At 41.0% G+C, this 27469-nt stretch overlaps 1 protein-coding gene across 2 annotated transcripts in view, besides 4 other annotated features; it reads left to right on the plus strand.

Moving 5' to 3' along the window:
• ARHGAP31 (Rho GTPase activating protein 31) overlaps positions 1-27469 on the plus strand; it is a 126332-nt gene that overhangs the window by 53968 nt on the left and 44895 nt on the right. For both annotated transcript variants that reach the window (NM_020754.4, XM_006713714.4), the window contains exons 2-3: positions 16966-17068; positions 20022-20166. In NM_020754.4, coding sequence (NP_065805.2) covers positions 16966-17068; positions 20022-20166 — 248 coding nt within the window. The remainder of the gene's footprint in view (positions 1-16965; positions 17069-20021; positions 20167-27469) is intronic.
• Positions 872-1696: an enhancer, noted in NCBI's record as "OCT4-NANOG-H3K27ac hESC enhancer chr3:119068069-119068893 (GRCh37/hg19 assembly coordinates)". NCBI's record gives its function as "activates a minimal SCP1, AML or CMV promoter by ChIP-STARR-seq in naive H9 embryonic stem cells {active_cell/tissue: H9 hESC(naive)}" and the evidence as "EXISTENCE:reporter gene assay evidence [ECO:0000049][PMID:30033119]".
• Positions 3218-3915: an enhancer, noted in NCBI's record as "H3K27ac-H3K4me1 hESC enhancer chr3:119070415-119071112 (GRCh37/hg19 assembly coordinates)". NCBI's record gives its function as "activates a minimal SCP1, AML or CMV promoter by ChIP-STARR-seq in naive H9 embryonic stem cells {active_cell/tissue: H9 hESC(naive)}" and the evidence as "EXISTENCE:reporter gene assay evidence [ECO:0000049][PMID:30033119]".
• Positions 3713-3762: an enhancer, noted in NCBI's record as "active region_20300". NCBI's record gives its function as "activates an Ori minimal core promoter by ATAC-STARR-seq in GM12878 lymphoblastoid cells {active_cell/tissue: GM12878}" and the evidence as "EXISTENCE:reporter gene assay evidence [ECO:0000049][PMID:35858748]".
• Positions 12502-13173: an enhancer, noted in NCBI's record as "NANOG-H3K27ac hESC enhancer chr3:119079699-119080370 (GRCh37/hg19 assembly coordinates)". NCBI's record gives its function as "activates a minimal SCP1, AML or CMV promoter by ChIP-STARR-seq in naive H9 embryonic stem cells {active_cell/tissue: H9 hESC(naive)}" and the evidence as "EXISTENCE:reporter gene assay evidence [ECO:0000049][PMID:30033119]".

Here is a 27469-nt window from a genome sequence, read left to right on the forward strand (position 1 = left end):
AAAATTGTCTTCCACGAAACCGGTCCCCGGTGCCAAAAAGGTCTGGGACCACTGCTGTATATATTATTTATGACTGCCTCCTCCTATAAGGAGGTGCCCACATATTTGACAGTAATCCTTCGTATCATCTTCACATTGAGCCTTAATCCTAAAAAGAGTTGTCTCCTGGTACTCAAGGGGAATTGGTTCCAGGACCCCCATGGATACCAAAATCTATGGATTGTCAAGATCTTGATATAAAACGGTGTAGTATTTGCATGTAATCTATGCACATCCTCTCGTATACTTTAAATCATCTCTAGATTACTTATATCTAATACAACATAAATGCTATGTAAATAGTTGTTACACTGTATTGTTTAGGGAATAATGACAAGAGAAAAAGCCTGTACGTGTTCAGTACACACACAGCCATCCTTTTTTTTCTGAATATTTTCAATCCTCAGTTGGCTGAATCCAAGGATGCAGAACCCACAAATATGGGTGTCTGACTGTATATCTGGTGAAAATTACTTCTAAAGACAGTGCTGAGAGCAGAGGTATAACAACTGTGAGTGAGAAGAGGAGTAAGCAGGTTTGGATAATTGCAATATCTGGCCTCTGAAATGAATGCTGGTTCCCCATAGGAGGCATTTCAGAGAATACTAAGTAATTTTTGAGCTGCAAAACTTCAGGATAAAAGCTTGAATATCATCACCCCTTGCTGTTTTAACAAACCACAAATTGCTACTATTTTTTGCCTGATTTTATATAAGGAATAATATATTATCTATAAAGGTAAAAGTGTAGTCTCTCTGCAGAAAGCATATCTTTTTGTTGGGATCTGTCAGAGATATGGAGAGAAAATTGAGGAAGAGGCCAATGTGAGTCTCTAAAATACTTTACATCTTATCCCTCAAGTATGTTCCCTGGAGCAAAACAGAAGCTCATAGAAATTCAGATATCTTGATTTGCACCATAAAATAGTGTCCAGAAACCTAGACACTGCAGCAGAGCTTGGTGTCCCATTTTTGGTGAGTTATTCTATTTGAGGTTACAGTAAAAGCCCTAGGGAGGACTTCTCTGGGCTGGGTTCTGAAGAACGCAGGAGAGAAGCATCTCCTGGGGACAATTTACATCCTGGACGGAGAATGCAAAGGCAGAAGGGGTGTTCTGAAGAGAACTGTGAGGAGTTTACCTGATTAGAGAGGGTGATGTTGGGGGAGGGGTCACGAAGAACTTAGCATTCCTTGCTATAGACAAACAATTAGATCTGTGTTTTCAAAAGCTCATTGGAGCAGCTGGCAGGCAGCTGGATTGAAGAGATTCCTGGAGTCCTGATAACAATGGGCTGTCCCTCCTCCCTGACCTCTTCAATTGCCCCATGAGCCGCTCCCAAATTTAACAAACTATTTAAAGAAGATCTCCAAGTGTAGTCCTGAGAATTTGCAGGGGAATCTCCTGGAGTCTGCACTCTTCTTAAGCTCCTGGGAGGCCCTTTTGCTCAGAAATATATGAGAACCTCCAGGAGAATGCTTTCTGGGCAGGCTTCCCTGCTTCCATTTCCACTATTGAGAATGGTCATCTATTCAAGCCCTGAGTCTTGTGGTAAATTTTCTTTACATAGATGGATAATCTTAAAGCATGAACACCAAAGAGATTTCAGTGCTAATAGAAGGGGATGAGATTTGGTGATTTTTTTTCTTTTGCTCATCTTTATTTTTAACTTGCACTACTTGTAGAATAAGAAAACTGTTAACTAAAATAAATGTAATGAGCACTCTGCATTTGCAAACACTGAACAAGCTCATGGAAGAAATGAATTGCCTGAAAAGGGTTACAAACTGCAGGGAAGTGCCGTTGTTTTCAGCAGGAAAGAGAGGCCTGGTAACAACAGGAAGCGCTGGGAGGCCTCAGTACCAAGGCTTCCAAGCAAAGCGGTTCTGGAAACAATGGCTGCCTGTGGCTCGGGAATATTGGGCAGGAAATGAAAGGATGCTGGTGTGGGGGCTGGGGCACAGCGAGGAACTGATAAGCTTTACCTGGCTGTTCTTCACATAGTCGTAGCTGGCCCAAGATGACGTCATTTTTTATAAATGTTCCCCATCTCCCGTCAGTAAAATTGATTTTAGAAAAATACAAAAACGAGAAGCCCCCATAGTGCCGTAGGTCTGGAAACCATTAGGAAGCTCTACAGCCTGGGAAACCAGAGGGTACAATAAGCAAAAGGGATTTCTCACTCTTAGGGCATGGTGAGATCAGTGCAGAGAGGACCTTCAGATGAACTAGGCGTCTTTTAGAGCTAAGTCCCTGGAGGATTCCAGCCCCCGTAAAAATAAAAATAGCCTTGGGGTTAAGGGGAGTCTAGCCATAGCAAAGGAGATATGTATAAACCTCTTGAGATTGAAGTTTATATTTTATTTAACAGAAATTTCCGTTTATATGGGTGGAGTGAGCTGGGGAACCATTAACAGTACAAATGAGAAACAAAAACAAAACAAACAAACAAAAAATTACCCTAATGTTTTGTCCTGAAAGACCTAGCTGTAAACCAGAGCTGGTAGGAGTCAGGACCTGAACACTGGCAGATAGAAACCGAATCTGCCTTCTTAATTTCCAGCCCAGCCTCTCCTCCCAGTGTCATCCAAGAAGCTGACAGATCCTAGAAGGAGGTTAGACCTGGAAGAAACACAAGGATCCAGAAATCATTTGGATCCAGAACTTGTTTCTAGCACAGATGAAAGTCTGAGGCTGGCAGTGGCTGATTTGCTGGAGGACATACAACTGGTTCATGTTGCTGTAACTGTTGGGTACCCCAGCACCTACTGCCTGGAAGATACCTAGGGGAATTCAAAGAAGAGGAAAGTTACTCTCCTAAAAGGTCAAGAATCTCATACGTGTAGATTAGGGCAAGAATCCATGTTTCTTAATTTGTTATCTAAGTCGTTCTCTCTCATCAAGTTGCACTTAGTTGTGAAGTCAGTCTCTACCTTCTGCTGCTTTCTGGTCTTCCTCATTCTTGGTCTGTGACTTGGTTTCCCTAGTGTGGAGGTTATGCTTATAAAATGTACTGGAAAGTGCATGAATTTTGGATTCAAACAGACTTATAACTGCACCCCAGTTTGCCACTAGCTGTTTGAGCTTGGACAAGTTGTCTAACCATACAGAATGTTAGCTTCCCATCTGAAAATAGGAGTAGTAATGCCTACATCTCAGAGTTTTAAGAATTAAATGAAATAATGATGGTTAATTCATCCCCATAAGCACCCATGAGGTATGCAAGAAAAAAAAAGAGAGGTGGCCTGGACACACTCAGAGTAGAAAAAAATTTACATTGTCCTCATTCTTAAGATGATCAGTGTTAGTGAAGCATACAGTTCAAGAAACAAGTTTGCTTCTCTCTCATTAATCTGCTCAGTTCACGACCTTCTCCCCTGGGGCTCACTCTCAGGCACATGCGGCCGTTCTCTGTATCCATTAGCACTTAAGAGCCTCCACCAGTGGTATCCCAAGGAGCAGGTGGCAAGAAAGCTGCTCATCCAGTAAATAAAACTTTGATCAGGTGATTCCACTGATGTGTGCTTTATGCAGTTAAACTGAGGATTTAAATGATTTTAAATGAGTTGTTGTTGCCTAGGAATGTGCTGGGGATTGACTGAGATCTTTCTGTCCTCCATCAGCAGCCCCATGGAGTGAGTGATGTCTCCCCCTACAAATCTCCTAATAACAAAGCTTTCTCCACAGACAGTAGAAAGGATGAACCACATAAGCCTTTATCAATTACACAAAGCACAGCAGCTTCATCAATGGGACAAAACCCTTCTGTACAGTTTCTATGTACAAGATGAATAGGGCCAGCTCTAAGACCAAGGTCACATGGGGATGTCTTGCAGGTTTGTTTTCTATGTTCACAGCATTTGAATCTTTTTCTCTACTCAGCACCACCCTTCCTCAGCCACAACCACTCCCACCCCAAACACACACACCCAGAGGCACCCTGTGGGAGTCCCTCTTAAGCTCTCCCCACTGGCTCATTCGCTACTGATGACTTGTGGACCCAGACACTTTCATCACTCTCAACCAGTCTTTTATGTGTGAGTCAGATAGGCTCTTACCTTTCCTAAAGAAATTTCAGGCAACAGCTAGAGAAGAGTGAGTCCTCTCACTTCCCCTTTCGTTGACGAACCACGAGAGGTTGTCCCTTCTGACCCTAAAGGGACTCCTTATTTTTTTCTTTTTGTGGCAAGTCTTTTCTTCTAGATTACCTCCCCTCCCTCTTCCCACACACACACACACACAAAAGCCTATTTCTTTGAAGGGAAGAACTTCAGGGTTGGCCCTGATGAGGAAGCTGAAGGTCTAGTCCCAAAGCTGCCAGTATTGGACATTATTCTACAGGCAATGGGAAGCTATTGATTGTTTTGGTGTAGGGGAGCTTTATCATCAAGGTAGTGTTTTAGAAAGATTTATCTGGAAGTAGAGATCAAGATAGAATGCAATCTTCCCAGACAGTCAGTAAAAATGCCCCCAAGTTCCCTAATGTTTCTCTTCCACTGGACTGGTCTAGTCAGCATTCCTGGAATTCACCACATTATTTCTTGCCTTTCACCTTGTTTATACTATTCTCTGTTTCCTGCCCCAAAAGAAAGTGTATGACATTTACTAAGTACTTATTATATGCTAGGCACTTAGATGAGCGGTCTGCATGTATTGTAATGTATATTGCGTCACGTCAATTACATCATATGATAGCATCTCACATCATATCAAATCATTCCTCTGCACCAGTGTCAGAGTTCTTATTGCAGCACCTTGACTGGTTGTTTATCCACTTAGCTCACAACACTGTGAGCCCCTGAGCATGAGGGTCCTGTCTCAGCACTCCCCAACGTGGTCCCTCTCAAGACAGCTGGCTCTCTAAAAACGCACACAATTTCCTGTTCTTGTTCAACATCTAAAAGCTCTGCCTGACTTCCCCACCAGCTGTAATCTTTTTAAAAGAACTTTTGTTACAATTTTTGTGCCTGTCTAGGGCCCTTAGCATATTTTGTTTGATATGTTCATACTGGCCAAGTGACGTAATACCTCTGAGCTTCAGTTTCTTCATTTACAAAACAGAGATAAATACCTCCCTCATAAGGTGACTGTGAGGATTGCACTGGGTACAAATAATGGATAAGAAGTGTATAGCTAGGCTGGGCACGGTGGCTCACGCCTGTAAGCCCAGCACTTTGGGAGGCCAAGGCGGGTGGATCACGAGATCAGGAGTTCAAGACCAGCCTGGCCAAGATGGTGAAACCCTGTCTCTACTAAAAATACATGGTGGTATGGGCCTGTAATCCCAGCTGCTCCAGAGGCTGAGGCAGAGAATTGCTTAAACCTGGAAGGACGGAGGTTGCAGTGAGCCAAGATTGCACCACTGCACTCCAGCCTGGGTGACAGAGCAAGACTCCATCTCAAAAAAAAAAAAAAAAAAAAAAGTGTGTAGCTCAGGGACCACTGCATACTAGTTTCACAATAATTACCCATTCCCTTCTTGGCTTCTTGAAGGCAAAGATCTTATTACCTTTTGTTCCTCTAGATGGGCCCTCAGTGCATCTGCTTTGGTAGAAGGAGAATCGCTGTCATTGGGAAAGAGACAGCATTGACAGCAGAGACCTGAGGGCCCCGGCAGGGATAAGTCACAGAGTGGACCAGAGGAGGACCTGGACACCTCTGCAGGAAAGTGCTGGTTTGGCTTGGCATCTGAGAGCCTAAAAATGAGGAGGGCAGGGACCCCCACCCGGGGAACCGGGCTCCAGGCTGCCTTGCTCAGCAGGATAGCAGAGCTAGTCCTCAGCCATCCCAGGCCAGCAGGTTGGGCAAATATTTCTGCTTCACAAGGGGTAATAACCTCAACAGGGTCACTGGAAAGGACTTCAGCAAACATTTAGAACTTGGGTCACTGATTTCAGAAGCCCCTCCATCTTCCTAAATGAAACTTGTTTTGTAAAATCCCATTTCTTTCTTTTAAAAAAAATGCTTTTACTATATCCCCTTCACAGAAAATTTAGAAAAGCAAAATTAAAAATAGAGAAAAGCAAAAATCATTGATTTTCTACCACTTAGCAGTAACTACTATTAACATTTCAGTGTGTGTGTGTGGTTTGTGTGTGTGTGTGTGTGTGTGTGTGTGTGGTTTTTATGTGTGTGTGTGAGGCAGAGTTTCGCCCTTGTTGCCCAGGCTAAAGTGCAGTGGTGCCATCTCAGCTCACTGCAACCTCCGCCTGCCTCCTGGGTTCAAGTGATTCTCCTGCCTCAGCCTCCCGAGTAGCTGGTATTACAGGCACCCGCCACCATGCCGGGCTAATTTTTTTTTTTTTTTTTTTTGTATTTTTTAGCAGAGATGGAGTTTCACCATGTTGGTCAGGCTGGTCTTGAACTCCTGACCTCAGGTGATCCACCTGCCATTGTGTGTCATTTTTTATTATTTAATATACTGGGGAAGAGGTAGTTTTTAAAGAGACATTCTGTACTCTATATTTATATATAATTTTAATTTTTCAAACTTTTTTGCTATTTTTTTTTCAAAAGGAACTTAAAAATAGATATTAACCATGAGCTGTTGAACACTTAAAGATCAGACCTGTAGTGGTAGGATTTCAGGCATTTTGGCAGTCAACGGCAAGGAGCCAATCCACTCTCCTCAAATCACACCTCCAAAGTTGCCACTATAGGACCTGCCTTCCTGTTGGGGAGTGTTTGAACCATGGTAGGTGTAGCTTGGGGCTTTTTCTATTCTTCATCACTTGTGGTATCACAGAAAAAGCATGGGCTTTGGCAGCACACACACCTGGGTTTGGATCCCAACTCTGGCACTTCCTAGCTCCAGGCCATTGGGCAATTTATCTATTCTCTCTGAGAATCAACTTTCCTATTTTCAAAATGGAGATCATTTTGTCTGTTTCATGGGTTGTCTACAGTTATAGAATGGAGAATGCTATAAAACAAACAAACAAATAAAAACCCACCTAAAGCCATGCTTGACACTTAGTAACTATTTTCTTTGAGGAATCCAGATAGCAAAGGAGCCCAGAAAATCCATCTGGAGAAAAATGACCAAGCTCCTGTTCAGGAAAACATTTTGAGTGCTTCTGTTTTCTTTTTTTTTTTTTTAATTTCTTTTTTTTTATTATACTTTAAGTTTTAGGGTACATGTGCACAACGTGCAGGTTTGTTACATAGGTATACATGTGCCATGTTGGTGTGCTGCACTCATTAACTCGTCATTTGCATTAGGTATATCTCTAATGCTATCCCTCCCCTATCCCCCCATCTCACGACAGGCCCCGGTGTGTGATGTTCCCCACCCTGTGTCCAAGTGTTCTCATTGTTCAATTCCGACCTATGAATGAGAACATGTGGTGTTTGGTTTTCTGTCTTTGCGATAGTTTGCTCAGAATGATGGTTTCCAGCTTCATCCATGTCCCTACAAAGGACATGAACTCATCCTTTTTTATGGCTGCATAGTATTCCATGGTGTATATGTGCCACATTTTCTTAATCCAGTCTATCACTGATGGACATTTGGATTGGTTCCAAGTCTTTGCTATTGTGAATAGAGAGTACTTCTGTTTTCAAGGCTATTCTAGATGAATAAGACACGGGACTGTCCTCATTGTCCCCAAGGAGCTCACAACTTAGTAATGGAGATGAATCAGAAACAAGCAACACCTCACACTTGGTGCTAGACACAGAGTAGGCTTGCAGTAAATATCTGCAGGATTAAATTTATTCGACAATTTTCTTCAGAAAAGGTAATATATTCCTATAGTTCAAAATTCAAAAGTACAAAAGAATATACAGTGAGAAGTCTCTCTCTTACTCAAAGGGCTAGCCCCAGCTTCCAGTTTCTTTCCTGTAGACAACTAAAATTATTGCTTTCTTATGTATTCTTCCATAGATATTGAATGCATATATAAATAGATGTGCATATTTAATCTTTCATTCTCTCTTAACAACAACAACAAAAAAAACCATGGCTGGGCACGGTGGCTCACACCTATAATCCCAGCACTTTGGGAGGCCGAGGCAGGTAGATCACCTGAGGTCGGGAGTTCAAGACCAGCCTGGCCAACATAGTGAAACCCAGTCTCCACTAAAAATACAAAAATTAGCCAGGTGTGGTGGCACACACCTGTAATCCCAGCTACTCAGGAGGCTAAGGCAGGAGAATCACTTGAACCCAGGAGGCAGAGGTTGCAGTGAGCTGAGATTGTGCTACTGCACCCCAGCCTGGGTGACAGAGTAAGACTCTGTCTCAAAAAAAAAAAGAAAAAAAAAGAAAAAACAACCAGATGCTAGCATACCATTATTCTGGTCTGCCTAACAATATATCTGAGACCACTCTATGTCTGTACATAAAAGTTTTCTCATTCTTTTTAGTGACCACATAGTATTCCACTATGTGAATCTTCCATTATTTATGTTAGCAACCTGCTGTTGATGACAATCTTGTGCAATTATGAAAACTGTTGTAATGAATAGCCTTGCACATACCTTACATGTCACATGTACAAGAATATCTGTGGGATAAATTTCTAGAAGAAGAATGACTGGGTCAAAAGCTATGTGCACTTATAATTTTAACAGATATTGTCAAATTGCCCTCCAGAGGTTGTATCAATCTCCCCTGCCAGTTGCAGTGCATGAGAGTACTTGTTTTCCCATAGCCTTGCCAACACTGTGTGTTAACAAACTTAGGTACCTTTGCCAATCTGAGAAGTGAAAAATGATATATCAGTGCAGTTTTAATTTGCAGTGGAATTGAATTTAGATAATTCTAGAAAGTGCCACAAAGGGAGGAGGCACAGGAGAGATAAGAACACGGAGGAAGGAGAACCTAGTTCTGCCTGAGGAAGGCTTTATAGAGAAGTTGAGGCTTGAGCTGAATCCCAAAAGATAAGCAGGAGGAGTTTCTCAGTGGAGAAGAGGCAATGGGCTCAGACGAGGGAGTATCGGGTGCAAAGCCAGGAAGGTGTGAAGGTGCAGAGCATATTCAGGAAGTGGCAGGCTGTCCAGCGTGGCTGGAACACCGCATTCCTGTGTGGGGCTGAGAGGGAGGGAAAGCTCAGCAATCGGTGATGAGACTGGCAGGGGGGAGTGTGGCCAGATTGTGGAAAACCTCCTAGGCCTCCCTCTAAATCAAATCTCAGTTTTTAAAAGATAAAATATATTCCCTGTCTGTAGGAACTAAAGAGAAAACAGAACTAAAGCCCATTCTACCCAAAACAAATTCGAAAGTGAAATAATAATAAAACAATCGCTTTGAATCCTGTAGGGAAAATGAGAAGTACAGTATAAACACTTCTCACTCTTTTTTTCCTCTTTTTCTCCTGGAAGGAGGTTATACTTGAGTTAAATGTATATAGTTTCTAACTAACCGTTCCCAAAGGGTGGTTTCAAAAATGTTCTGAGCCAGATAATGGTCTAGTTTCTCAAAGGATAGTGCTGCTTTGGATTTATATGTTCTCATCTATAACAATAAGAAACAGTTGCATTACTTATAACATCACTCTTTATGCATGTGCATAATGATGAACCATTATTCCAATAACCAATGATGAAGGATGTGGACAATATAAATCAGAAATAAGAAGCTTTTCTCCTGATACAAAAAGCACAAGCAACAAAAGAAAAACATAGATAAATTGGACTTCACTGAAATGTAAAACTTCTGTGCTTCAAAGAACACCATCAAGAAAGTGAAAAGACCACCCACAGCATAGGAGAAAATATTTGCCAATCATAGGTCTAATAAGAGTCTAGTATTCAGAATATATAAAGAAATCATAACCCAGCAAAGACCACCCAACTAAAAATGGACAAATTATCCAAATAGACATTTCTTCAAAAGAGATATACAAACGGCCAGTAAGCACAAGAAAAGATGTTCTACATTGTTATCAGGGAAATGCAAACCAAACTGCAATGATACCACTTCACAACTACTAGGATGACAATAAAAAAGATAGACAACAAGTCTTGACAAGGATATGGAAAATTGGAACCCTCATCCATTGCTGGTGGGAATGTAAAATGGCACAACTATTGTGGAAAACAGTTTGGCAGTGCCTCAAAAGTTAAATGTAGAGTCACCATACGACCTAGCCATTTCACCCCTTGGATATATATCCAAGAGAATTGAAAACATATATCCATACAAAAACTTGTACGTAAAGGTTCATAGCAACAATATTCCTAATAGCAAAAAGTGGAAATAACTCAAATTTCTATCAACTGGTGAATGAATAAACAAAATGAAGGCTTTATTTGGAATTTTATTCAGCCATAAAAATGAATGAAATACTGACACATGCTACAACATGGACGGACCTTGAAAACACTATGCTAAATAAAAGAAGTCCGTCACAAAGGCCACATATTTTAAGATCTCATTTATAGGAAATGTCCAAAACGGGCAAACCCATAGAAAATAGAACGTTGATTAGTGGCTGTTGGAGCTGGGAGAAGGGGAAATGGGCAGTAACTACTAATGGATATGGGTTCCTTTCTTGAGAGATGAAAATGTTCTGGAATTAATGTGATGATTGCTTAACTTGTGAATACACTAAAAATCACTTAGTCGTACACTTTAAAGGGTGAATTATATGGTATTTTAATTATATTTCAGTTTTTTTGTTTTTAACTTTTTTTTTTTTTTGAGACAGAGTCTCACTCACTCTGTCACCCAGGCTAGAGTGCAATGGTTTGATCTCAGCTCACTGCAACCTCTGATTCCCAGGTTCAAGCGATTCTCCTGCCTCAGCCTCCTGAGTAGCTGGGATTATAGGCGTGCACCACCATGCCCGGCTAGTTTTTGTAGTTTTAGTAGAGACGAGGTTTCACTGTATTGGGTAGGCTGGTCTTGAACTCCTGACCTCAGGTGATCCACCTGCCTTGGCCTCCCAAAGTGCTGGGATTATAGGCAGCCTGAGCCACTGTGACTGGCCTATATCTCAGGTTTAAAAAGAAAAAATAAAATGCTTAAAAGGAAACTTTTCTCCAAGGAGGACAAGCCAAAGCCTCAACATATTTTTAAATTTTTTTTCTTAGAAAATTAGAAAGTGGTTCATTTGTTTTTTTTTTTAAAGAACAGAACACATTATACTTTGTTAAATAAATACCACAACTTTTCAACATTTATTTAATTCCACATGAAGCCAGGAAGAAAAGAGTAGAAAGAAGTTAAAACAGGGAGGAGGAAGGAGACTCAGAGGGAAAATTGGGGTGGGCAGTGACCTCCAGGCAGGGAGAGCCTCGCAGAGGCCAGGGAGGAGCATGGGACAGAGGAGTGGAACAGGGATGGGGAAAGGATGGGACAGGAACAAAGAACAGAGGCTGGCAGAGAGAGCTCTTGGATTCTGGGGGGGAAACGCCTAGGAAGTTCTGTACTCACAACCCAGAGAAATGAGGAAGTAATGTAAATCTTTACTGCGTCTCTTGGGAAAATGCTGAAGAGGGGGCCCATTCACAGCACAGCAAAATTGTTTAAAAATCCCCCCTCTCTCCCGTGTGCATCGCAACAGATGCTTACAGGATTTCTTCCTGTGCAGTGTCTTGTCTCCCTCATTATCTTACCCTCTTCCCTCAAGTATCATTATTCTTTGCCCACCGGCAGCTCTTGGTCCTTTTTATTACCTCAAACAAGATGATGAACATATCCATCACGCCCAAATGTTTCCTCCGGCTCCTTTGTCATTCCTCCCTCCTGCCTCTTCCCTGCTTTCTCTTCCTACAAGTTAGTTTGCATTTTCTACAGTTTTACATAAATGGAATCCTACCCTATGTAGTCTTTCATAGTCTGGCTTCTATCACCCAGCCGAGTGTCTTTGAGCTGCACTCACAGGCTTTATCACTCCTTGTTGTTGCCGAGTATATTATATTGTGTGTACACACCACTAGACTTTACTTTGAAGGTCAGGAATGCAGGATCCAGAGAGGGGACGAAATCTGACCAAGTCAAGACCTTAACAAAATCCAGAATGGAGATGGGGGAGTGCCTGTTTCCCTAAAACACAAATGCCATTTGCACTATGAAAGAATGTGGCCACCACAACCACGTAAATGACCAAATACAACTGTGCTTCTTTCAATCTCTGTCTCCAGGTCTGATCAGGTCCCAGGCACACAGGGAACTGAGGCAGCTTAGCAGTGTTATGACTTCTGGGGGTGACTTCGAGAAATGTTTGACTTCTGGCCTTTTCTGCATTAAACCCTTCAAGAGGTTAGGACATGAGGAAAACATGCCATGTTATTTATAAGTGTAAAATATCTGTTAGTAGGAAATAAATAAAACAAAGGACTGTATAATATTTTATGAACTGTAAAGCATAAATCAAAGGCAAGATTTTCTTTTCCCTCAGAAACCTCTTCAAGTTGTATTTTGTGCTCAGATTAAAATTTAACATTTAAGATAACTGATCTAGGAAAAACAAAACAAAACAAGGGAGTTAGAGGGCCATAAGTGAAATGATTCTAAGAAGCTATGATATTATGTCATCAGCAGCAACTATGTGTACCTCTGTAGGAGGAGACTCAGAGTTCTATGGGCCCAGGATGAATCCCACAGAATGAGCTCTGTGACTCTGACCTCCAGCGTCAGTCCTTCCCATGCCTAAATCGACAATAGAAGCTTTCTTTCTGTCTATAACTACTCAGCTATTTTGATCAAGCTTCTACCCTGTCCAGAATCCTAGGGTGTCCCCAATCTGATAGGACCCCTGGGACAATAGTTTAAAGAATTCTGAGACTTTGAGACTTAACAATAGCCACTGCAACACTACCCTCCAGGGCTATTTTCAGACCCTTGCTATTCTGAGTGTGAGCTGCAGATTAGCAGTACCTGCATGACCTGGAATTTGTTAGAAAGGCAAATTCTCAACACTCCTACCACCTGCCTCCCTACTGAATTGCAATATGCATATCAGTGAAATCCCCAGGTGATTTTATGCACATTAAGGTATGTGAGAAGCCCTGGTCTAGACTAGTGGTTCTTCAACATTCCTTTTTTTTTTTTTTTTTTTAAGACAGAGTCAGAGTCTAGCTTTGTCGCCCAGTCTGGAGTTCAGTGGTGCAATCTTGGCTCACTGCAACCTCTGCCTCCCAGGTTCAAGTGATTCTCCTGCCTCAGGCTCCCAAGTAGCTGGGAGTACAGGCACCCGCCACCACACCTGGCAAATTTTTGCATTTTTAGTAGAGATGGGATTTCACAGTGTTGGTCAGGCTGGTCTCAAACTCCTGACCTCAAGTGATCCACCCACCTTGGCCTCCCAAAGTGCTGGGATTACAGGCGTGAGCCACTGTGCCCAGCGGTCCTTCAACTTTCGAGTACATCAGAATCATCCGGAGGATGCCGGGCTGCAGGACTTGATCCAGGGACCACAGTCTGAGAACCGCTGCTCTAATGTCTAGAGCTGGATGATTACACAGAGATTGAGTCCTTTCCCATTACTGAGTAACAACGATGGAGAATTCCTACATCTTCCAACTCAGCCCAAGATGAGAAATCCAGGAAAGCTAACACTTCACAGTGATTGGGACCATGACCTCTTTCCTTGGGTTGTTTTAACATTGCCTCCCACTTAAACAAAGCCATGGACAATAGGTTCTAAGGCCTTTGTACCAAAGCCAGAATAAATTTATGGCAGAGGCTCTGTCTCAGAATGTGTTTTCCCACCTTTGAGACAAATGGAGCCTGAAGTGCTGCAGCTGAGAGCTATGGTACTGGGAGGTCCCTATCTGAGAACGGGCTGGAACAGGTTGGTTACCCTGTACTGCCCCTTTTGTGGAGTGTTCTTTATCAAGGTCCTTAGAGTCCAAGGCTTTTGTGCTTGAGTCCTCCTTGTGAGTGTTCCGAGTTCTTAAGTCCACTTGTGCCCTGCACAGCACAGCAGCCATGCACTGTGGTACAGACTTGAAATGCAGAACACCCTGAGGGCCAAGCACAGCTCCCAGACTGCTAACTCACAACCCAGACACTGTTAGATCCTACTGCCTTTGTGCTGCAAAGATATTCCTACATGCACAGAAAAGACATCCCATGGAAGCAAAATTACTCTCAAATCAAAAAATGTGCTAAAGAAAGACACAACAGCCATTCTAAGAAGTAGAGATGAGGCTGGGCGAGGTGGCTCACGCCTGTAATCCTAGCACTTTGGGAGGCTGAGGCAGGTGGATCACCGGAGATCAGGAGTTCAAGACTAGCCTGGCGAACATAGTGAAACCTTACCTCTATGAAAAATACAAAAATTAGCTGGGCATGGTGGCAGGCACCTGTAATCCCTTCTACTCGGGAGGCTGAGGCAGGAGAATCACTTGAAACTGGGAGGCCAAGGTTGCAGTGAGCCAAGATCACACCACTGCACTCCAACCCGAGTGACAAGAGCGAAACTCTGTCTAAAAAAAAAAAAAAAAGGCGGGGGGTGGAGTAGAGATGAGTTTTGACCTGTACGAGGTTGGTCATCTACCTCAAGTGCCCATTGGATGGGAAGAGGCAAGCTGTGTTTTCACCAAGAAAATCAGATTATACATTTATATTATAGATAAGTTACAAGTAGAAATAATATTGGTCATTGTGGAATGCTTCTTATATGCCAGGGTCTGTGCCAAATATTTGTAAGTATTATTTCAGTCCTAGCTACAAGATTAGTATCACTATTGTCCTTTTACACACACGGAAACTAAGAAACAGAACCCTTGTATATTTTGCCCAAGGTTACAAAAGCAGTTTGGTATCCGAATCTGCACTCTCAACCATAGACTGTGTGGTGGCAGGTTACCGAACAGTGAGGTGTGGTGGGGAAAGAGTCAACCGTCATTGTTCACAACAGGGATTTTGAGAGAGAGAGAGATAGAGAGGGAGACTTTAAGTATCATTGGAACTGTTTTCATTTATCTATCTATTTGCATGAGCATGGGAAACAAAATCTCACCAAGAACCCTATTTTATAAAACAGATCAAATCATAGCTCTTCTGGTTGAAGACAGGCAGAGGCTCTGGACCCCTGCCCACACCCACAGCACCCCCCATCACACCCTACTCCCACGCTGTGCTCACTCCTAGGAAGTGGTTCCACCTCTATGGTCTCTGGCCTCAATGTTTCCAATTCCAAGTCCATTCCCTGAGGGGCAAACCATGGATGTATGCTGGAGGGGAATGCTCTGGGAATGCACAGCCTTTGAGAGGCAGCAGAATAAGTATGGTGAACTTTATTGAGCACTTAAAATTACAGTTACTTGAAGGCCACAAGGGAAAGGAATGCTTAGAGCACGTCATAATAGGGAATTCAGGTAGAATGTTGAGTCTGAATGCCTTGCGTCTACCCACATAAAGATCCAGTCCAGCTTAGAATTGTGTGTAGGCATGAGTATATGTAATAAGCATTAATGAATTAGCATTGATGTAATCTACAGCATTAATGGATTGAGTATGTGTTGGAAGTGTGAGCACAATAATAGCCCAAGTGTTAATTCACGGAGGTCCCACATCACTGTGGCAGCCTCGAGAAGCCACTGAAGACCTCAGAGCCTTCAGTGGGTTGTTTGATGGGTTAGGTTGTTCTATCCCAAACCACCATTCACAACCCTCTCACAGAGGGGAACTCAAGTGCATCTGTCCAGGGACCAAAGTGGCAAGTGATCTGCTGCTCTCTCTGTACCATCCAGAAGGCCTGTATCTGCCCCTGTTGGTCACTGAGCTGGCTGGTTCTCTCAAAGTCAGCCGCCCGGAGAGAACAGCACAGCCAGACCCTTCTACCAGGGCACTGAACCTCTGGAGAGGCAGGAACTCAGGAGGCCCTGTCGGTCCCTTTTATGTTGTCCATTAAATCAATGACTGGTTTCAATCCATGGTTGGGGGTGGGGGGATGGAGGTGGGGGGGCCGTTCTTACCTTTAAAAAAAAAACACTTTATCACTTTAACCTTTAAATCACCTTCGACATTCTGGCAGATTTTCTTCCAGTCTTTTTTCCTTCGAATTTTTTTAAATCTAAACTGAATTTACAATGTATATTCAATTTGTTGAAGATTTTTTCTTCTAAAAAAATGGAATTGTAAGCATCTTCCAATGTATTAATTATTTTTTACAAGCAACAAGTAATCATGAGTGACTTAAGTAAATTTGCCTGTGCCTTGATGTCCTCATGTTTAGAATAAAGCAGTGGCTCTCTAATTTTTGCATGCATCAGAGTCACCCAGAGGGTTGTTAAAAGGCACAGATTGCTGGGCCCCACCCCAAAATTTCTGAGTTAATAGGTTGGGAGTGGGGCCTGAAGATTTGCATTTCCAACTTCCCAGGAGATGCTGATGCTGCTGGTCAGAAGACCATACTTGGAGAACAATGAAATGAAGAGACCGAGTTGTGGAATGTCCAAGCTCACCACTGGTCTCAAAATCTAAGTTTTTGAATATTTTTTTAAATTCTTTAAAAAAAACAATTCTTGGCCAGGTGTAGTGGCTCACACCTATAATCCCAGTTCTTTGGGAGGCCAAGGCGGGTGGATCACCTGAAGTCAAGTGTTGGAGACCAGCCTGGTCAACATGGCGAAACCCAGTTCTCTAATAAAAACACAAAAATTAGCTTGGCGTGGTGGCGGGTGCCTGTAATCCCAGCTACTCGGGAGTCTGAGGCAAGAGAATTGCTTGAACCCAGGAGGTGGAGGTTGAAGTGAGCCAAGATTGCGCCACTGCACTCCAGCCTGGGCAACAGAGCAAGTCTCAAAAGCAAAACAAAACAAAAAAACAATTCTTTAGCAAAGCCCTATGATTTTTTTTTAATATGAAAGGAACATCACCTACCACTTACAAGAAATTGTTTCCACTTGTAAGTCATATGAGTTCCATACTTACATCTCTTTGAAGGTACCTGGATTTTTAAAAGGATATCTTTAAAAGACAGGCAGACTTACATCTAATACTTAATTGTTTTTTTCTTTTCTTTTACATAGTTCCATACGTTTTGAAGAGCTGTGCAGAATTTATAGAGACTCACGGCATCGTGGATGGAATCTATCGGCTTTCAGGAGTCACCTCAAACATACAACGGCTAAGGTAAGCTAAAAGAATAGCCCTAAAAGAATTCTCCCATGATTCCTCCTGTGTCCATGCCTCTGTCCATCGGTGTCCAGAGTATTAAAAACCCAAAGGAACTGAGGGAAGTGTGGCAGCACCGAAGATCAGATGCAGTGGTTTTCAGATGCCTGACTGTTCTTAATCTAATCAGGAAACCCTCCAGCCTGATGTAATTCTTTCCAACAAAAGCTCCTAAGGCTTTCATTCTGTTTCTTTGTCTTGCACTAGATATATTCTTCTTTGGTGAATTTGATTTAACTCAAATGATTTAAATTACAAGTTAAGGAAAACGTGATTTATTATCATTTGCTGGCCTGCCCAAAGCTCAGTTAGACTAGGTTCCTGTTACTTAGTGTTCAGAGATCCATGTCAGTTTTTCTGCTGGCACACCCTCAAATTTGATGTTTTGTCTGGTTGAGAAATCAGAAGCCTATATGATTGTGCATGTCTCTAATTGATGCTAGGATTTTAAAAATTACTGATGGGTGAAAAAAATAAAAAATAATAAAAATAAAAAATAAATTACTGATGGGTGAACTATTTCCAATTCTATGTATTTATCCTAAATATTTGGAAGAAATTTCTATCACATTAAATAAAGAGGGCAAAACATTTTATACAAAACACAGGTACGTGTGTGTTTTATATATATACAGAGAGTATATAGAAAACAGAGTATATATGTATAATTTTACATAACTTAAACAATAGATTTACATATTTTGCATATTGTTCCTTAACACCAAAAGGAACATAATTTAATGTTATTTTAATTATAACATTTTATTATTACCTATATTTATTATATGTTCTTTAGTTATAAATGTAGGCTTTTAAAACAAAAAAAATTCTTATTACAAGGCTAATATGTAAAATTTAATAAGTTGTGCAGGTAATTCAGTTTTCATATTCTTTCTCCTGTTTGGTTTCTGCCCTTTTCCTCCAGATTTGGATTGTAATTAAATTATACCAAAAAAATAGAGCATCTTTTTTTTTTCCTAGAGAAGTCATAGCTGTTAAAAAAAATAATTGGTTTATTGCAGCCATAGATTTTAATGAATCTATGTGTTTACATAATTTCACTAATTTACTAGTACTCCATTTATTAGAGTTTCAATGGCAAATACTTCTTAGTGGTTGGAAATATACCACACAGTACCTACCACACAGTAGGTAGCATCCCGGAAGGACACTTCAGTAGTAATGAATTATTTTTTATTTCAGCACTGACCTTATCCTTGACAAGAGAAATCTTTGGCTAAATAAATGAATAAGCTCTAGATTGCTCTTGTTCTGCTCTCTTAAAAACATTCTCTTTTTAAAAGAGAACTATGCCAAGAGAACATAGCATGGCATAGTTCTCTTTTAAAACATAGCATGGGCCGGGCACAGTGGCTCACACCTGTAATCCCAGCACTCTGGGAGGCCGAGACGGGTGGATCACCTGAGGTCAGGAGTTCGAGACAAGCCTGGCCAACATGATGAAACTCCGTCTCTACTAAAAATACAAAAATTAGCCGGGTGTGGTGATGGGTGCCTGTAATCCCAACTACTCGGGAGGCTGAGGCAGAAGAATTGCCTGAACCTGGGAGGCAGAGGTTGCAGTGAGCCGAGATTGTGCCAGCCTGGGCAACAACAGTGAAACTCCATCTAAAAAAAAAAAAAAATAGCATGGCATAGATCTCTTTTCAAAGCCCCACTCAGTTTCTTTCAGGTTCTGAAAGTATCAGGGATTTCCCTACCCTTCATTAAGGGGGTAGGCCCAGAAAACAGGAGAATGGGCAGCGAGCTGTTTCAAAAATGCTGGTTCTGAGAGTACTGTTGACTTTGTCACCAGTTGGATGACTAAGTGAATACTCTCAAAAAGCTTAACTTCTCTTCTATATTAAAGCTCCAATTTATCATTTTTAAGCAGATTTTAATTTATAAGTATTAATACATACTATTTGAGGCAGTATATTCATGTAACCTTTTTAGGAAATGTTTTCTAAATGTTTTTCAGGCCTGGAATTGGATGATGTCCAAGACATCCCACTATAGATTGTTTAAGAAGATATTTATGAATTCATCTGTCCTGTAGGAGTCACCATCAGGCAGCCTAGAAGGTTCTGTTGAGCACCAAAAAGATAGTCGATTAGGCTGGGCATGGTGGCTCACGCCTGTAATCTCAGCACTTTGGGAGGCCGAGGTGGTCAGATCACGAGGTCAGGAGATCGAGACCATCCTGGCTAACGTGGTGAAACCCCATCTGCACTAAAAATACAAAAAATTAGCCGGGTATGGTGGCGGGCGCCTGTAGTCCCAGCTACTCAGAGGCTGAGGCAGGAGAATCACTTGAACCCGGGAGGCGGAGGTTGCAGTGAGCCAAGATTGTGCTGCTACACTCCAGCCTGGGTGACAGAGCGAGACTCCATCTCAAAAAAAAGAAAAAAAAAAAAAAAGATAGTCAATTAAAGTTCTCAAGCTTTGGGTTTGAGTCTTCAGATAAAACAAGTTTGTTGACACAGATATATGGAGATGAGCGACAACAACCTGACCTACCCTAGTTTCGGTCTCTCCTGTAAGAAAGGGAAATTCATTTTGAACAATATTTTGGAAAAACTGAAATCTCAATAGGACTTTTTGGCAAATTATGTTGATATTTCCCCAATGTTCATAACCAAGACTGCAGACCTGATGCCACGGGTAATCCATTTGTAAATGAGCATTATGTCCTTCTAATCACAGCAGATTTTGCAAGAAGATCCAGACCTGAAGTGGAAGTCTTCCTGTGACTTCCTAGGGCCTGGAGTAGAAGATCTTTTTGAATTAAGGTCAAAAATATAGTCAGAATCAGCAGTTTAGGGTCTTTTTACCCCTAAGCAGCCAAGCAGCTGCTGACATGGAACACACACTCCCTGGGATTGTTATGTCTCCGTCTGTGTTGTTTCAGGCAAGAGTTTGGCTCAGATCAATGTCCAGATCTGACAAGGGAAGTGTACCTCCAGGACATCCACTGTGTGGGCTCGCTTTGCAAGCTCTACTTTAGGGAGCTGCCCAACCCCCTCCTGACTTATGAGCTCTATGAGAAATTCACGGTGAGTGTTTGGATTTCCATTATGGTTACTGGGTGGGATGCATGGATGGGCCAAGAAGAGTTTCAGCACTAAAATAACAATAATAACACTCACCAGATGGTTGACATTATCTTAGCGTGGTGAGGGAAGTAGGATAATATGGTAAGGAAAATAGGGTGGTGGAATTGTTTGCTAAATTTTTCTTTCTTGAATTTTCAGAATCATGTTGTTTGTTTTAAGAGCTGGGTTGAATTATCTCCATGTTTATTCAACTGAATGTGCCTTATTGTATAGGGAGGAAACTGAGAACCCCAGAAGTAAAGTGTCTGGCCCAAGGTCACACAGCAGAGGCAGGACAGGAACCTGAGACTCCTCATGCTACACCCACTGCTAGCCTTTTTATCAGACCATTCCCTCTGTGTTTCTTTTGTAGGTTGGGTAAAGAGGTGGGTGGGTAGAGAGGGGAGAGGGAACAAACAAATGTCAAGAGGTGTCAGAAAGCTGGGAAGAGAAAAGAATATGAGAAAAACAGCCAAGAGGGAGAGCAGGATAGGCAGTGAGTTGGACTGGTGGAGAGGATGGATGGGCATTAGCAAAACACCTAAGTAGCAGCTGTATGGTCACCAAATAGGGCACACCCATAGGAAAGTAGAAAGAAGAATAAATGCTTAAAGGGTGACTGTAGAGATAGCGTGAAAAACATGGCTTGAACATTTGGCTGCATGGGAGAAGGTGTAGAGTAGGCAGAGGGCTGGGTTTAACCAAGGTTGGGGTTCAGTTGGCAAAGAGGGATGAGGGAGATGAGAGCGTGTGCTGGGGGCATTGAAACAATTTACCATGGAATGTAGTGTAGATACGAAAAGAAGTGAGGGCACAAGGTAGTTGAGTAACAGTGTAAAAGTAGATCATCCCAGTGAAGTCAGTGGACTGTATGGTAGTTAGAGAGGGATGTTTGAAAGTGAGACTATGGCGAGGTTACAGTTTTGGGTAAGGACCAGATCTAGTCACTAACAGTGGGAGGGAACCTTTCTCATGGCTCCTGTAATAAATTTGTTTTGAGTATATGAAAGGTTCTTCAATTTGAAATGATACAGGAATAAATGAATGCTATTTCTTAAAAATGGGCTTGGGCTGTAAAAATATGTTTAGGAGTTTTCAGTGGTACAGGGAAATACTCAAATGCTAATTGAAGAAAAACTAAATGCACAACTGTATATTAAGAAAGGAATAAAAGGAAAGATGTTCAAAAGACTAAAAGACTAACAACTGTTCATTTCAGTGATGGGATTTCAGACAGTTTTTCTTGTTTCTTTAACTTTCATAAGTTTGCCCACTAAAAATATATTAGCTTTTAGCAAGCAACAACAACAACAACAAAACCATCTTCTGGTTATATATACTTAAAGAATTTAAAAAAGGAAAAACAAAATCAAGAAATAGGGGGAGAAATGAAGATTTAAAAAAAAAAGAAAAGAAAGAAAAAAATAGTCCAAAGCACATTAAAAAATGGGCATAAATGTTGACCTCTAGAGAAGTCAACATGTACCAGCTGGCATAGAGTTGTCATTGGTTATGGGGCCCTTCTCCTTTAGATCTAAGGCAGAAGGTAAAGAAGCCTCCTATCTGCATGGGTAAGTTGTAAATAATGGTATCCCCTACCCATGGAACCACAGAAGTGTCTTTCCTAGGAACCAAGAAGAAAGGTGTGAGCTTCATGTGGGTCTGTCAGATTATAATCACTTTCACCATATGTAAGTATTTGGTTAAGAGTAATCCTATTTAATAAAAGACATTATGAAAAATGAAGGAAAGTAGAAAGGAACCATTGATCTGTCTCCTTAAAGACCAAAGACAACTACAGTTAACATGTTGTGGGTATTCTTTCCATAGTGTTTTTGTTGTGGTTTGTGTTTTGTTTTCCAAAATCAAAATAAAATTTTATTGCAAAAATTAAAGTAATACAGAAATGTATAAAGGAGAAAGTATAAATCTCAAATCACCTGAAATTCCACACTCCAGGCATATTTGCTGTTAACAGATCGAACAGATATTAACTATATCTGTAGTAATAGATGTTAACAGATCTCAACACACACACACTCACACACACTCACTTGTCAGTACTACATATTGCTGTTTGGGGGATGCTTTTAATTCAACAGTGTGATCATCTTTGTGTGTTAAGAAATACGGGAAGACACTGTGTTTACAGCATTCTCTCTATGTGCCATGATTTCTGAAACCAAGCTCCCACTGATGGATATTTAGCTTTTTCATTTCTCAAGACGTTCCTTTTATAAACATTATAATACACATTTTTTCACCTATATTTTTACACTATTTTTTGTTTGTTTATATCCTTAGAGAAAAATCATGGAAGTAGATTTGCTGAGTAGAAAGTTCTTGTTTAAAATTTTGTCACAAATTACCAGTCTGTCCTCCAGAAAGACAAGGAATGCTCTTTTCCCTGCAGACTTTCCAACCCTGGGTATTTCCAATTGGTTAAATTATTTGTTGACCTGAATCAACAAAAAATAATACCTTATTGTTGCTTTAATTTGTGTGTAAGACTTTATTGTTTTCAATATAGTTGTAATCCTCTTATCAGTACCATATTATCATCTTTGAATATGATAGAATGGAATATCATTATGTTAATGAACTGAATCAGTCTTATTTCTTTTAACTAATATCTCATTCTATTATAGTTGGGGGTAGATAGGAATTCTTTGTCTGGAAACTTTAGAAATACAATTTCTCCTTAGCCCTTGTCTACAGGCTCAGAATGAAACCTGTATTTATCTCTCCCCTCTCCTGTTCCCTGTTATTGCTAATCATTGTGTTTTCTCACAGCAACTGAAAAATACCAAGGCAGCTTGTCAACCTGTCTTCAGATTTGAAGGAAATCTGACATTGTATTTAAACAGTTTATTTGACACTAAAAAACAGGGATGTTTTGTTATGACAACTAACTCTATATACATAGGATCTAGTGAAGTTAACTATGTTGGAGAATGTATCATTTAATAGATTTCTTTGATCACAGATAATATAAGTAAACCTTCACGGGTATGGAAATAGCTCTGTTACATTGTCACACATTCTCCCTATAGTTTACTCAAACCTACTTGCACAGCTAAAGTAGAATAATACCTTTTATTAACTTTTATTTTAGGTTCAGGGTACATGTTCAGGTTTGTTATATAGGTAAACTTGTGTCACGGGGGTTTGTTGTACAGATTATTTTGTCACCCAGGTACTAAGCCTACTCCCAATCAAGTAGTCCCCAGTGTCTGTTGTTCCTCCCTTTGTGTCCATGTGTTCTCATCATTTAGCTCCCACTTATGAGTGAGAACCTGCACTATTTGGTTTTCTGTTCCTGCATTAGTTTGCTAAGGATAATGGCCCCCAGCTTCATCCATGTTCCTGCAAAGGACATGATCTTATTCTTTTTTAAGGCTGCATAGTATTCCGTGGTGTATATGTACCATATTTTCTTTATCCAATCTGCCATTGATGGGCATTTAGGTTGATTCTGTGTCTTTGCTATTGCGAATAGCACTGCAATGAACATACGTGTGCATGCGTCTTACGGTAGAACAATTTATGTTCCTTTGGATATATACCCAGTAGTGGGATTGCTGGGTCGAATAATAGTTCTGTTTTTAGCTCTTTGAGGAATCACCACACTGCTTTCCACAACGGTTGAATTGATTTACACTCCCAACAGTGTATGTATAAGTGTTCATTTCTCCCCAACCTCACCAGCATCTGTTATTTCTGACTTTTTTTTTTTTTTTTTTTTGAGACAGAGTCTCACTCTTGTCACCCAGGCTGGAGTGCAGTGGTGTGATCTCAGGTCACTTCAACCTCTGCCTCCCGGGTTCAAGCTATTCTCCTGCCTCAGTCTCCTGAGTAGCTGGGATTACAGGCGCTCGCCACCACGCCCACTAATTTTTGTATTTTTAGTAGAGACGGGGTTTCGCCATGTTGGCCAGCCTGGTCTTGAACTTCTGACCTCAGGTGATCCACCCACCTTGGCCTCCCAAAGTGCTGGGATTACAGGCGTGAACCACCGCACCCGGCCTATTTTTGACTTTTTAGTAATAGCCATAGAAGAATATCTTAATGGAATGATGAGAGAATAAGAAAAAATATTAATGGACTAATAATACTAATAATGATAATAGCTGTCAATAATTGAGTGCTTACTATATGATAAACTCATTATAAATATTATTTCATTTAATTCTCAAAATAACCCTATGAGGTAGGTTTTATTGTCTCTGTTATACAGATCATTAAAATGAGGCTCAGGGTGACTCTTGCCTGGGGTGGTACAGCTAGTAGGTGGAGGTAAAGATGTAGTTCTGTCTCATAACTCCCACACTACTTGAAAGTAGAGTTAACAACACTTAATTAAGGCTCAGGTATTAAATAACTTAATATGAAATAAAGTAATGAAGGAACAATGCCATAAACAGTGCTAGGAAAATTCGCTATCTATTGCAAAATGAGGAAATCAAGTTTCATCTTTACCATTTAGCAGATTTCAGGGTGGAGAAGGGTTTCCTAACCATAAAAGCAAAGGAAAAAAGTCACAAAAAACAAACTTAAAAATGGAACTACATATAAACTATTTTTCTTTATAAAAATATATTAACACAATTAAAAGGCAAATGACTAAATATAGGAACTATTTACAATAAAGATGACAGGGGATTAATGTTCTTTAATTATAAGGAAGCTATCAATAAAAAGAAGTAAAACATATAATACCTCAATAAACAAGTAAGCGAAGGACCTTGATAGATAATTCCTAAAAAAAGAAATTGAATTATTTAAAAAGTATCAATATATTAGAATAATATAGTTGCACATTAAATAAATAATTTTTAATGTTATCATTTCACACTGGCAAGCCCATGGTGAGACTGGCTTTTTTTTTTGTTGTTGTTGGCTTTTTTGGTTGTTTGTTTGTTTTTTGAGATGGAGTCTTGCTCTGTCGCCCAGGCTGGAGAGCAGTGGTGCGATCACGGCTCACTGCAGCCTCCCCCACCCGGGTTCAAGCAATTCTCCTGCCTCAGCCTCCTGAGTAGCTGGGATTACAGGCACCCGCCACCATGCCCAGCTAATTTTTGTATTTTTAGTAGAGACAGGGTTTCACCATGTTGACCAGGCTGGTCTCAAACTCCTGACCTCAGGTGATCCACCTGCCTCGGCCTCCCAAAGTGCTGGGATTACAGGCGTGAGCCACCGCACCCAGCTGAGACTGGCTTTTTTATAGTTTTCTGTTGGAAGTATAAATTGGTTGGACGTCCCCGAAAGTCATATGAAATTACTATCAAGAATACTCAAATGCTCATATTCTTTAATCCAGTAACTCTATTTCTAGGACTCCATTCTAGGGTGACAATCAGATGTGCACACAAATAATTGATGTACAAGTATGTCCATTGCAATATTATATACAATATCAACATTTTGGAGAGTACATGTCTAACAGTGAGAGATGATTTAAATAAATGATAAATCTATTGTTGTTAAAACTGTGTGGCCATGAAAAGTCACAGTTTTGAAAAATGTTTACTGACCATATGATATGGTTTGGAGGCTTGTCCCCTCTAAATCTCATGTTAAAGTGTAATCTCTAATGTTGGAGGTAGGGTCCTAGTGGGAGGTGACTGGATCATGGGGGTTGATCCCTCATGAGTGGCATGAATGGCTTAGCATCATCCACTTGGAGATGAATGAGTTCTCGCTTAGTTCATGTGAGATCTGCTTAGAGTTTGGGACCTCCCACTTTGCTCTCTCGTGCTCACTCTCTCACCACGTAGCATCACCTGTTCTCCCTTCGCCTTCCACCATGACTGTTAGCTTCCTGAGGCCCTCACCAGAAGCGGATACTGGAACCATGCTTGGACAGCCTGCAGAACCATGAACCAATTCAACCTCTTTTCTATATAAATTACCCAATCTTAGGTATTCAGTATGGTTTGGCTCTGTCCCCACCCAAACCTCATCTCGAATTGTAATCTCCACATGTTGAGGGAGGGACCTGGTGGGAGTGATTGGATCGTGGGGGCAGTTTTCCCTCATGCTGTTCTCATGATAGTGAATGAGTTCTCACAAGATCTGATGGTTCAAAAGTGTGTGGCGGTTCCCCCTTAGCTCTCTCTCTCTCACTCCTGCTCCGCTGTGGTAAGGCAAGCTTGCTTCCCCTTCACCTTCTGCCATGATTATGTTTCCCAAGGCCTCCTAGCCATGCTTTCTGTTAAGCCTGTGGAACTGTGAGTCAATTAAACCTCTTTTCTTCAGAAATTGCCCAGTCTCAGGTAGTTCTTATGGCAATGTGAAAAAGGGCTAATACAGTATTCATTTATAGTGACACAAAAACAGACAAACACACCATAATATAAAGTTAAATGGGGAAAAAAGCAGTATCTGTAACTAAACAGGAAATAAAGCCAGTGTTCATGTTTGGTGCTTGGAGGCCCTGATCAAACTGCTTTTTTTTTTGTTTTGCTTTTTGTTTTTCTTCACCTATAAGTAGGTTAGTAGTGGTTATTTCTGGGTGATGTGATAATAGGGGATTTTTTATTTTCTGCAGATTTCCTACTTTAATTGTGAGTACATGTATTAGTTTCCTGTTGCTGCTGTAACTAATTGCCATAAACTAGATGACTTAAACAACAGAAACCTATTGCCTCACAGGTCTGGAGGCCAGAAGTCTGAAATCGGCTTCACTGGGCTGAAGTTAAGGTTTCAGCAGGGCGTGCTCTCTCCAGAGGCTCTAGAGGAAAAGCCGTTCCTTGCTCCTCCCAGCTTCTGATGGCTGCTGACGTTCCTTGGATTGTTGGTGCCTCACTCCTGTCTCTGCCTCCAGGGCCACATTGCCTTTTCTTCTTCTGTCTGTGTCAGATCTCCCTTTGCCCTGCTCCTATATAGATACCCATGACTGCATTTAGGACGCACCCAGATAATCGAGGATAATGTCCCCACTCGACATCCTTAATTTAACCACATCTGCAAAGACTCGTTTCCAAATAAGGTAACACAGGTTCCAGTGATTAGGATTTGATATCGTCGGGAGCAATTATTCAACCTACTGTATTTCATTTTTATCAGAAAATAACAACAACATTTATTTTAGGAAAAATTCAATTTTGTTCAGATCGGTCCAGCTAAAACTATTACACCCAAAACAGGAAAATTTTGCTGACTTGAGATTTTTAGAGAAGGCCATTTAGAGGTGTTAAATTATGTATTTGCCTTTTTTCTTTTTTTAATTAAACTTGTCACCTGTCAGAATGTATATTTAGTT

Source organism: Homo sapiens, chromosome 3 (assembly GCF_000001405.40).
Source record: "Homo sapiens chromosome 3, GRCh38.p14 Primary Assembly".
Lineage (NCBI taxonomy): Eukaryota > Metazoa > Chordata > Mammalia > Primates > Hominidae > Homo > Homo sapiens.